At 46.5% G+C, this 12,580-nt stretch overlaps 1 long non-coding RNA gene across 1 annotated transcript, besides 2 other annotated features; it reads right to left on the bottom strand.

The window, feature by feature from the left end:
- Positions 1 to 9,530: 9,530 nt before the first annotated feature.
- On the bottom strand, positions 9,531 to 12,336 carry LINC01058 (long intergenic non-protein coding RNA 1058). Its single transcript, NR_125771.1, has 2 exons — positions 12,309 to 12,336; positions 9,531 to 10,037 (listed from the first exon to the last, which is right to left on the bottom strand). It is a non-coding gene; the product is annotated as a long intergenic non-protein coding RNA 1058 (long non-coding RNA).
- Positions 11,638 to 11,817: a silencer, noted in NCBI's record as "silent region_5231". NCBI's record gives its function as "represses an Ori minimal core promoter by ATAC-STARR-seq in GM12878 lymphoblastoid cells {active_cell/tissue: GM12878}" and the evidence as "EXISTENCE:reporter gene assay evidence [ECO:0000049][PMID:35858748]".
- Positions 12,258 to 12,547: a silencer, noted in NCBI's record as "silent region_5232". NCBI's record gives its function as "represses an Ori minimal core promoter by ATAC-STARR-seq in GM12878 lymphoblastoid cells {active_cell/tissue: GM12878}" and the evidence as "EXISTENCE:reporter gene assay evidence [ECO:0000049][PMID:35858748]".

The following is a 12,580-nucleotide window of genomic DNA, read 5'->3' on the forward strand; positions in this document are numbered from 1 at the left end:
TTACAATTCAGAATTCCAGGAAAGACTTTCTTTTCTCACTTACTAGGTTAACAGAACGCTAGCCATGTGGTTCTAACCTCTGGGGATTTTAGGCAGCGAAAATCTCATCACATAGCCAGAGAAATAATCACAAATTCCCACGACACACTTCCAGGCGGTATCACAGCTCCTGGCCTGCTTGAGATCTGTGGGAGTGAGTCAGTGCTGGAGATCTGAGCTGGAAGCTGCCTGGAGTCCTTCTGCACTGATATTTTGTCCCTTTTCCTCTAAGTCAAAAACACAAAGTCCTCTACAAACATTTTTTCATTAGTTTGTTTGTCTGTTTTGCTTTCTAAAAACACCAGACCCCTGTTCAGTTTCCTCTGAGATCTGTGTTAGTATTAAACATTTAGTGCTATTTAAAAAAAAAAAAAAAAGGGCTGGGCGTGGTGACTCACCCCTGTAATCCCAGCACTTTAGGAGGCCGAGGTGGGTGGATTGCCTGAGTTCAGGAGTTCTCGACCAGGCTGGGCAACACAGTGAAGCCCCATTTCTACTAAAACACAACAAATTAGCCAGGCATGGTGGCGCATGCCTATAGTCCCAGCTACTCGGGAGGCTGAGGCAGGAGAAGTGCTTGAACCCGGGAAGCAGAGGTTGCAGTGAGCTGAGATTGCGCCACTGGACTCCAGCCTGGGTGACAGCGAGACTCCGACTCAAAGAAAGAGAGAGGAAGGAAGGAAGGAAGGAAGGAAGGAAGGAAGGAAGGAAGGAAGGAAAGGGAGAAAGAAAACTTTGGCCTCATTGAAAAAGCATAGCAGAATCTTGTTTATTCTTTTGTCTGTCTGTCCATACCAAGGTGTGACTGACTACCTAAATTGCCCTAGTAGTTACAATGGGATAATTCATTTCCTTTCTCAGCTATTGAGTGCTAAAATCATTCTCCTTGGAACAGATGCAATGTCTTATCTAGAAAAATACCCAGAAAGCAACATTTATGACTATTTATAAGGGTGATGAGCACATTGGTTATGTAGATTTAAAAAAATGAGGTACATCCTAATCATTCTTAAGATGCCCTCACAGTGATACATACTTCTCATGAAACCAAAATCTTCCTCCTCCAAATCTCACATAGTCCAAACCGTGCTTCAGAAAATGGGCATGGTTTCTATAAATCGAATCCATGGTCACATTTAAAACACTGAAGGTGTGTTCACATAGGAAAATTACTTCAGCAGACCAAATTTTAAAAATACTTTTTAATAAGAAAGAGGTGGCCTAACCTGTGACAACCTCATAAAATTTTGGAATAGGAAACAGTCTTAAGTATCATCTCATTCAAAAACCAAACGGTATCCCTGACAAGTGGTTTTCTCAAATCCGTGGAAATACAACCAGTGGCAGGGACACCCCAAGTGACCCACCCTTTCCAACTCTTAGAAATGTTTTTTTTCCACAAAGCCTGAGATTCTCAAATCTTTTTTCCTTGAGCACTCACTCATCATTCTGTCCTGGCCATGTGGGAAAAACCTCTTCCACAAAGTAGCTCCTCCACGTGTTTGAATGCAGCTCTTAGAGGCTTTTCTTTTGTAGGTTTGCAGTACGGACTCATTTTATTCCTTAAGTCCATTAAAAATTGCTTATTGTGGCTGGGCACAGTGGCTCATGCCTGTAATCTCAGCACTTAGGGAGGCCGAGGCAGGTGGATCACTTGAGGTCAGGAGTTCAAGACCAGCCTAGCCAACATGATGAAACCCACCTCTATGAAAAATACAAAAATTAGCTGAACGTGTTGGTGCACGCCTGTAATCCCAGCTACTCGGGAGGCTGAGGCAGGAGAATCACTTGAACCCAAGAGGCAGAGGTTGCAGTGAGCCAGGGTCGCACCACTGCACTCCAGCCTGGGTGACAGAACAAGACACTGTCTCAAAAAAAAAAAAAAAAAAAAAATCCTTGTTGAGGGCTGGGTGCCATGGCTCATGCCTGTAATCTGTAATCCTAGCACTTTGGGAAGCCGAGGCAGGCAAATCGATTGAGCTCAGGAGTTCTAGACTAGCTTGGGCAACATAGTGAAACCCTGTCTCTACAAAAAATACAAAAAAATTGGCTGGGTGTGGTGGCACATGCCTGTAGTCCCAGCTACTTGCGGGGCTGAGGTGGGAGAATTGCTTGAGCCCAGGAGGTCGAGGCTGCAGTGAGGCGAGATCGCACCACTGCACTCCAACCTGGGTGACAAAGTGAGACCCTATTTCAAAAACAAAAAACAAACAAACAAACAAAAACTGCTTATTGTGTACCTAGGATGGCTGAATGATGGAAAAGGAAAACAAAGCCACAGCCCTCCTGGAACATATATTCTATTGAGGAAGACAGAAAATAAACAGTTAAATAGGTACATTTATAATATAATGTAGGTAGTGATACATATATAGAAAGAAAGGCAGGGTAAAGAAACTGGGAATGAGAGTGTTTCTTTAGGTTGGGAGGTAAGAGAGGTCCTATTAAGGACATAACATTTGGACAAGGACCTGACTTTCAGAAAAATCTCCTGAACTGAGGGGATGAGCCATGTCAATATCTGGGGAGAGAAAAAAAAAAGGCCTTGAAATGATAAATGCTTGATGTCTGGGGAATACCAATGAGGCCATCAGTGAAGAGGAAACAGTGAGGGGAAAGAGGTAGGAAGTGAGCTCTGAGAGGTAGCCAGCAGGGTCACACTTTGAAAGCAGGGACATGACATGATTTCAAGAGGCTTTCCATCTTAATTACTATGTTCTCTGTATATTTTAGCTGGTCAAAGTCTCTGTAAAAGGTGGTCACCCAGAATTGCCTCCAGTATTCCAGGTGGGGCCTAACTGGCACAGAGTAAAGCAGGACCACCCCCTCCTTTATTCTGGACATTATATTTCTATTAATACATTCTGAGGCCTCCCGTCACATTTTAGAAAGTCATTTATTGAGTTTGCTGTTTTCTTTTGCATACTGCACTTTGTTGTTTTTTTTTTTTTTTTTGAGACGGAGTCTTGCTCTGTCACCCAGGCTGCAGTGCGGTGGTGCAATCTCGGCTAATCGCAACCTCTGCCTCCTGGGTTCAAGTGATTCTCCTGCCTCAGCCTCCCGAGTAGCTGGGATTACAGGTGCATGCCACCATGCCCAGCTAATTTTTTTGTATTTTTAGTAGAGATTGGGCGGGGGGGTGTCACCATGTTGGCCAGGCTGGTCTCGAACTCCTGACCTCAGGTGATCCGCCCACCTCGGTCTCCCAAAGTGCTGGGATTACAGGCGTGAGCCACTGCATGGGCGCATATTGCATTCTTAAGCCATACTTTCCATGCAGGTTTCTTCCACAACCTCACCCTCTTGTCCCCTGGCCTAAGACCTACTGACATCAAGAAGCTTCAGGAAACCTCATCCTATAAATCAAGTGGTGGCCTACTCATAGGAAAGTCCTTACAGATACTTTTTTTTTTAAAGAGATGGGTCCTCACTATGTTGCCCAGGCTGGACTCAAACAATCCTCCCGCCTCAGCCTCCCAAGTAGCTTGGACTATATATATAAGCCACTGGACCTGGCTCAGATACGTTTATGTATTTGCCTCATTCTGATGTCATTTAAATATGCCATGTTCCAAACATCATGAACTTGTTTAGTGAGCTTTTAGGGGCCAGAATGTGGAATGCTATCCTATTAAACTCTATCTTATTAAACTTGACACATTGCTCCAGTCTTTTAAGATGTTTTTGGCCTCTGGTTCTAGCATCTTAATGTATAAGCTATTCCTCTTATCTGTGTGTCAACAACAGATTTCACCAGCATATGACTTATAACAATATTGTACTGAGTGAGGCTTAAGATAGGGCCCCGTGGTAAGCCTATAAAGAACCCCGTCGAAGTTGAAATGGATCCATTACCAAGACTTTTGGGAAATGATTGTTCAACCAGCTAGCTGCAAATCAATCTAATTGTACCATGATCTACCCTACATCTCTCCATTAGCTAATCAAGAAGAACACTGTAAAATATTTTTGTCTAATGTCTTACTGAAATTTATATGCACCGCCTTGACCTTCTGCTCAACCATGCTGTCAAAGAAATTAAGTTCCACTTAAACTTTGAAGTTCCTATTTTCTTTCGTGCTGCTCTTTTACCAACTCTAGACATTTCCTCCCATTCTGGGGCTTGCGTAACTGCAGACACTAGCCATACCTGGAAGCATGCTTCCTTCTTTTCTACTGCAACTGTGCAATACACTTTTGTTTTCCTAAATGTATTATACATATAACTGGTAAACTGAGTCAACTGGGATCATCTGAATCATGTTTATTTTTATTTATTTATTTTTTTTTTGAGATGGAGTCTCGCTCTGTCACCCAGGCTGGAGTGCAGTGGCGCAATCTCGGCTCACTGCAAGCTCTGCCTCCCGGGTTCACACCATTCTCCTGCTTCAGCCTCCCAAGTAGCTGGGACTACAGGTACCTGCCACCGCGCCTGGCTAATTTTTTGTATTTTTTAGTAGAGACGGGGTTTCACCATATTAGCCAGGATGGTCTCGATCTCCTGACCTCGTGATCCGCCCACCTCAGCCACCCAAAGTGCTGGGATTACAGGCGTGAGCCACCGCGCCTGGCCTTGAATCATGTTTTAAATATACAATGAACTGCTCAATCATTCAATCAATAAAGTTATTGATCACCCCCTCCATAAGTCTAATATTTCCAAAATGAAAAATCTTTTTGTAATACAAATGTAATACTTTCTAACATGAATTTTTGTTTACCTAGGCTGAATTTTCTCAAAACATGATATGGTTTGGCTCTGTGTCCCCATCCAAATCTCATCTCGAATTGCAGTCCCCATGTGTCAGGGGAGGGACCCAGTAGGAGGTGACTGGATCACGGGGCCAGTTTCCTTTATGGTGTTCTTGTGATAGTGAGTTCTCACAAGATCTGATGGTTTAAAAGTGTGGCACTTTCCCCCCAACCCCCTGCCTTGCTCTCTCTATCTCTCTCCTGCCACCATGTAAGACATGCCTTGCAAGCTTCCCGTTCCACCACAATTTTAAGTTTCCTGAGGCCTCCTCAGCCATGCAGAACTGTGAGTCAACTCTTTTCCTTAAAAATTACCCAGTCTCAGGTACTTTTATTAATATACAGCATTGTGAGAACGGACTAATACAGATGATTAAATAATAGTAATATTCTTTTTTTAAAAAATAATTTCAACTTTTATTTTAGATTCAGAGGGCACATATGCAGGCTTGTTACATGAGTATATTGTGTGACACTGAGGTTTGAGGTTCAATTAATCCCATCACTGAGGTTCTGAGCATAGTACCTAATAGGTAGTTTTTCAGCCCTTGACTCCCTCCCTTTTTCCTCCCTCCCTTTCTCCTCCCTCCCTTTCTTCTTCCTCTGGTAGTCTCCAGTGTCTGCTGTTTCCATCTTTACGTCCACGTGTACTCAATGTTTAGCTCACACTTATAAGTGAGAAAATGCAGGATTTGGTTTTCTGTTCCTGCATTAATTCACTTGGGCTAACAGCTTCCAGCTGCATCCATGTTGCTGCAAAGGACATGATTTCGTTCTTTTTTATGGCTGGGCAGTATTTCATGGTGTATGTGTACCACATGGTCTTTATCTAACCCACCACTGATGGACCCCTAGATTGATTCCATGTCTTTGCTATTGTGAATAGTGCTGCAGTGAACATATGAGCACACGCGTCTTTTTGGTGGAAACATTTGTTTTCTTTTGGGTATGTACCAAGTAATGGGACTGCTGGGTCAAATGGTAGTTCTAAGTTCTCTGAGGCATCTCCAAACTGCTTTCCACAGTGGCTGGACTAATTTATGTTCCCATCAACAATGTATAAGCATTACATTTTCTCTACAGCCTCAACAGCATCTGTTATTATTTTTTTGACTTTTTAATAATAGCCATTCTGACTAGAGTGAGATGGTATCTCCCTGTGGTTTAAATTTGCATTTCTCTGAGTAGTGATGTGGAACATTTTTTCATGTCTGTTGGCTGCTTGTATGTCTTCTTTTGAGAAGTGTCTGTTCATGTCCTTTGCCCACTTTTTAATGGGGTTAATTATTGTTTACTCATTGAAATGTTTAAGTTCCCTATAGAGTCTGGATGTTAGCCCCTGTCAGATGCACAGCTTGTGAAGATTTTCTCCCATTCTGTAGTTTGTTTGTTTACTCTGTTGATAGTTTTTCTGTGCAGAAGCTCTTTAAATAATACTAACATTCTTGAGCAGTTCTCTAATGACCCCTTTACACTCTTAAAAATAGTTGAGAACCCCAGAGAGTTTTTGCTTATACAGGATATATCCATCAATATTTACAGTAATAGAAATTAAATCAGAAAATTATTTATTAATTCATTTAAAATAATAACAACAAACCCGTAATATATCAACATAATCAATATTTTATGAAAGATATATTTTCCAAAACAAAAAAGTTAGTGAGAAGAGTGGCATTGTTTTACACTTTTAGATGTCCTGAATGTCTGGCTTAGTAGGACACAGCTAGATCCTCATGTCTGTTTCTGCATTTAAGCTGTGGTGATGCACATGGCATATGCCTTCTGGAAAACTCCACTGTACACTCCTAAGAGAATGACAATGAAAGATGCAAACAATGTCTTGGTGTTATTATGAAAATAGTTTTGATCTGTGGGCCCCCTGAAAGAGTTTTGAGGACCTCAGAGTAGACACTGTTTAAATAATAAAATATACCTATTTTTGGCTTTGAATGTCAGAAAGCTCAGAGCTACATTTAGCAACCACTTCAGGCCTGGTATTATAGTCCTTTGCAGCTTTGCTCAACTGCAGTCTGTTTGCGACTTGCCCTTTACTTCTTTTTTTGGTGTTTACAGCTCTTGGCCATACTTTTTCTGTGTTTTTATTAGACCTTGCTTCAAATCCTTTGGAAAGCAGGTTGGGTGTTTGACAATATAGGTAATTGTGCACATATGCTTATACACATATATTTCAACACAAGTTTAAAATTATACTTTGATTTCATGTTCAATATCCACCTAGCAAACACACCTCAACAGGATGAAAATATATATGATAGTCACACAAAAAATTAAGACACTCCTCAGATTGTCTGAATGCACTTTTTACACAAAGCCCAGAGGATAGGGGTTACATTGCAAGAAATCTACTATATAAAAAGATTGGCTGGGCGCGGTGGCTCATGCCTGTAATCCTAGCACTTTGGGAGGCTGCGATGGGTGGATCACTTGAGGTCAGGAGTTCGAGACCAGCCTGGCCAACATGGTGAAACCTTGTCTCTACTAAAAATACAAAAATTACCCGGGTGTGGTGGCACATGCCTGTAATCCCAGCTACTGGGGAGGCTGAGGCAGAAGAATTGCTTGGACCTGGGAGGCGGAGGTTGCAGTGAGCCAAGATCGTGCCATTGCACTCCAGCCTGGGCGAAAAAGCGAGACTCCATCCTCCCACCTCAAAAAAAAAAAAAAAAATTCAGCTCCACCTGGGCATGGTGGCTCACGCCTGTAATCCTGGCACTTTGGGAGGCCGAGAAGGGCGGATCACTTGAGGTCAGGAGTTCTAGACCAGCCTGGCCAACATGGTGAAACCCCGTTTCTACTAAAAATACAAAAATTAGCCAGGGCTGGTGGTGGGCACCTGTAATCCCAGCTACTCGGGAGGCTGAGGCAGGAGAATTGCTTGAACCTGGAGGTGGAGGTTGTGGTGAGCCGAGATCACGCCACTGCACTCCAGCCAAACAGCAAGACTCTGTCTCCAAAAAAAAAATACAGCTCCATAATAGACAATTTATCATCCTGGAAGTTAAGCAAATAATCAAAATCTATACAGTGTTTGAACTGTTTCTCAAGCCCCCTACTTAGACATTGCCATTTTTCTGTATCAGTAACTAATTTGATGCCTATAATATACATTTGAAATGTCTGACCTCCACTCTTCTCTCTTCTTTCCTGGAGAACTGTCCGGTCATTCATGAGGATGAGTGTCCCCAGATGTGCCTGTCTCAGGGCACCCTCTCCTGGGCACACCTGATTGGATCAAGCTGTGCACCTGACCCAGGCTGGGACAACCAAATTCCCTCTCCCAGGAATCTGGTATTGGACTGAGGACAGCCACTCACCTTTGGCTAATCTCTTTAGGAGAGAAGATGTAGATGTGATAGTTGTTGAGGGATTATCCTCTGCCCAGCTACTCACAGAGAAGAAAGTGGATTGCAGAGGGAGACACGAAGCAGAGAAGAAAGCTGGAGAAGGTGGACTGTCTAGGTTCCTAGCAGCTTCTCGGGCTACCTTGAGGCCATCTGCCCTTGGACTTCATGAGATACTGCTATACTCTTCTATGTCCCTTAATGCTTACGTCAGCTCAAGTTGATTACTTCCAACCAAAAGGACTTAACTCAGACAAGGACAAAGCCAAGACCATCAGTGAGGTTTTTTTCTTTATAACCAGGTCCCTTACAGCATCCTGGGGAGCACTGTAGGTCCTAAATACACATTATTCACATTATTCACTCTCCAAAGGCTTCCATTAGGCAAAAACATCTTCTCATCCAAGGCCAACTAGATTAGGAAATGGCATTTCTTATGGCTTTCCATCCCCAGAGGGCAAATGCACAGATGACTGCAGTTAGCAATTGACTCTGTGGGTTAGTATTTGCTGAGGGCACACACCCTGAGACTTGAATGACAGAAATCCCCAGGTGCCAAGGAGGAGACTGGCAATTATGCCTCCAATCACCTCCCTGTTCTGCCGCCCTCTAAATCAGCACTCCCCACCGCGGTGACCCTCAATGACTGGCAAGACGACCCATTTTTAAAGGGCCAATTTTTAACAGCTGGAAACAATAAACGTCGTGGGAGGTGAAGATGCTGGGAGGACTGATTTCTCCTTCGCTGTTTTCAAAAGTCAAAAGATGCTGGGTGTAATGGCAACAGCCACAGAAAGTTAGCACAACTCCTGCCACGGAGCAGCTGTGTGATGGTGGCTTCCCCAGTCCCCCTCCCTGGGCCTCGGTTCTTACAGCTGCAAAATGAGGAGGTAGAATGAGATGCTCTTTAATATCCCTTTCATCTTCAACTTTCTACAATTCTTGTAAGCTGGAAAGATGTACACAGAACTTCATCTTGATTTTATTACTTGTAGTCCATCTTCTTGTGACAGAGCCAGCGGCAGCTTGTGCATGTGAAAGTAAGTTGTTCACTCTCTCTCTGAGATGATTTAAGAGGTTGTGAAAACCCAAAGTACCTCCTTCAGTGTTCTGCCATAGCCAGGCCTGAAGCTCCCCTGCCCCAGAGCCAGACCTGGGATCCAGGTATCATTTATCTACGTCAAAAGGCAAACATGTACATTGTACATTGTTTTCCCAGAGCATATTAGCCTGGACTTGCCTCTGGAGTCCCTAGGAATGATACTAGGCCTGGGATCCAGCAGAGGCCAGGAAAGGTCTCAGGCACAGGGTACTGTGGTGGCAGACAGGCCTGGGCAGTAAGTAGTGTGTGCAGGGTAGCCCGTGAGTGGCAAGAAGCTCCAAAGTGGGGGACAGCCCTGAGCCAACTGCGTGCAGTAGGGAACAGGGCTGTCAGCTCCAGCACTGCACTTTTGCTTCATTTTGCTCACCAGATCCTCTTGCTCCTCTTCAGGGTGCCCAGCAGGAAGGGTCTCTAACTATCTTCCAGGGCCCACTCCACAATATAAGGAAAGCCTGACATTAGGCCCCAGTAGGAGTAGGAATTCCTTAGCAGCCGCCTTGGCCCTAGCTTCTGCCTTCTAGGCTGTCATGACAAAAAGACTAGGGATAGTTGGCCATGCTGGAGAAAATGGCCATTCTGTTGTGAATGAAGCAGCTGCCTGGAACCACTGAAGCCCCTCTCCTGTGGCCCTTCCTTTGTAGAAGCTGTTGAGTGGAGCTGGCTTCCTTCTTCAATTGGTTGGCACCCTGAGGAGCCATAGATCCACTGTCCCCATGCCCCAAAGGAAGGCTTGGGTGTTGTGTGGTATAGTAAGCCTTTTGGTGGCTTCAGTTCTTACCCTAAAAAAAAAGGAGAAGGGATAACACGAGGAGACCCTCCTAGAGCTCCTATGGGATATTTAATTATCAATATGGCAGCTACACTAGGTTTAGAAATAAATGAACTATCAGATAGCACCCTAAGGTATTATCCCACCACATGGGCTCTTAAACACCGATTTTCTCTGTACTCTATTGGAACATGTGTAGACATTTGATTTGAAAACCAGGCTTCCCACTGACTTCCTTAGCAGGCTGGGATGTCAAATCTTTCTCTCACTTTTGGGGGGGATTAGGGTGTCTTCTGGGTTCGTATGAGTGTGTGGATGTTAAGCGGTAGTAAAAATAGCAACTGAAGCAAAAAAAAACATCCTTAGTGGGATCTCAAAACCGTTTAAAAAGAAACTATCGGAGGGGCCTAACAGTATCAGGTGTTTCATAGTTGCTGGGGAGAAGCAGCAAAGGGACACACATTCACGCTAGACTAAGAATGTCCCATCATCATTACTCCTGCACACCCACATCCTTAGGCTCCAGGTTAGGCCCCTTATAAAATATTGTGTGGGCCAGGAATCCCACGAATTCCCAGAAGAATGGGAATTTGGGGAATTGTTTTTAATCCCGTTGGATAGTCCAGTAACTCTGCACATGGATACCAGTCTTGGGCACAGGGAATTTCCCTAAAGAGCCACAAGGAGACTTGGGTTAACCAGAGACAACAGCTCCTCAAGTACCCACTGTGGAGGAAGTAGAGGAATTCAGAAACTCGGGCTAATGAACCGCCTCAGTAACGTCCTGAGGGGTAAAGCTCTGCTGTGTCCATGGTGAAATGTGAGTGTGAGAGAACTGTGGGAACATACATATCCACCTGCTGCAAGCCTACCTGCCCATCTTCGAAACGCGGTGCCCCTTCACTCTGCCCCAAAGCTGAACCCTTTTGTATTACGCCTCCCAAATACGAAGTTGTCCCATAGCATGAGTTTTGGAGTCCAAGGTTTGAGTCCTCGGTCGGCTGCAAAGAGCTGTGTGGTCATGGCCAAGTCACTTAGCCCATCCAGGTCTCAGTCTCCCGTGTGTAAAATGGGAGTAAGGAGGGCTCAATTGTTCTAAGGATTAAATGCAACCAAGTTGGCAAAGTTTTAGCACAGTGCCCACGTGTTAGCTGTTTATGGTGTGCCTGTTGTATGCCAGGCCTGCGCTGGAGACGCAGGCATTATGCTCCCTGCACATGGCCCATACCCACATCTCCTCTACACGCGCCCTCGCTGAGGCGCGGGTCCTACTGAAGATCCGGATAGTGATCATCCTTTCTGGCAGCATAAGTCCCGCCCCCTTTCCTTCCCTGGGCTTCTGTTGTCCAGGCTACCTTGGCGTTATCAAAGCTACTTGATCTTTACAGCCACTTCCCTCTGCACAGGCATCCAAATAGGAAATTCCGCTCTCAAGGAACCTTCTACCCATCCACCTGCCACCAGCACGAACCTGCTGTCTTGTTCTCTGGCCTCTCTCCCTCAGTCCCCTTTTGCGCCCTCATTTTCCTGTCTAAAATGAAACGGACCGCTGCCCTTTTTATCTGTACTAAGTTTCAGGAGCAGAATCTTCGTTAAACTGAGCAGAGCAAGAGCGCGCTGCCCACAGGGCTGGGGCGGGCGCACGGGCCCTTATGTAAGGCCGGGCCTTCCCGGGGAAGAGCGAAGGCTCCGGGAAGGGAAGCACGGGCGGCGGGGCCCGGCCTCGAGGACCGCCCCCAGGGCGGGGAGTGGTGTGAGCCGCGGCGCCGCCAGCAAACTTTCCTCCTCCGAATTCTTGACCGAGAGCCTTGGAACCACATTCTGCCCAAATCTGTACACGCCGGAGCCAGGGAGCCGCCCGCCGCCCGGGGAGCGGAGTGGGGAAAGAGGGGGTGGAGAAGGGACCGGGGAGGAGGTGGGGGAGGGCGGAGGAGGTGGTAAGGAGAGGAGCGGGGGGGAGGAGGAGGAAGGGGAGGAGGGAGAGGTGGGGCGGGGAGGAGGGAGAGGTGGGGCGGGGAGGAGGGAGAGGTGGGTCGGGAAGGAGGGGGAAGTGGGAGACCGGGGATGTGGGAGGGGAGAGAAGGAGGAGGTGGGAGAGGGGAAAGCGGGGAAAGGGGAAGGTGGGGCGGGCGGAGGTGGGGGTAGAAAGTGGGGAAGAGCGGGGATGGCAAGTTCCGCGGGTGGCGAGCGGCCCCAGGGAGCGGCGGGGGGGCGAAGCAAGTTCCTTAGTTTCTCCCAAGCCAGCCCGGGAGCTGTTGGACGAGTGGGAGCGCCTGGCTACCTGCAAGTCTTCGGGTTTCGCGAGCGCCGCAGAGCTTTTCTGCAGCCGCTAAATAAATAAATAACTACGGACGCCCGCCCCGCCCCGCCCCGCCCCGCCCCTCCCAGCCCAGCCCAGCCCAGCCCAGCCCAGCCCAGCCCCGCCCAGCGCAGCTCCCTGGCCGCGGCGGCGGTGGTGGCAGCGGTGGTGGCGGCTGCGGCGCAGGCAGGGCTGGGCGCTTGGGGAGCTCCGCGCGCGGGGCACTTCCCCGTGACCGGCGGCCGCGCAGCTCA

This window comes from Homo sapiens, chromosome 13, assembly GCF_000001405.40.
Source record: "Homo sapiens chromosome 13, GRCh38.p14 Primary Assembly".
NCBI lineage: Eukaryota > Metazoa > Chordata > Mammalia > Primates > Hominidae > Homo > Homo sapiens.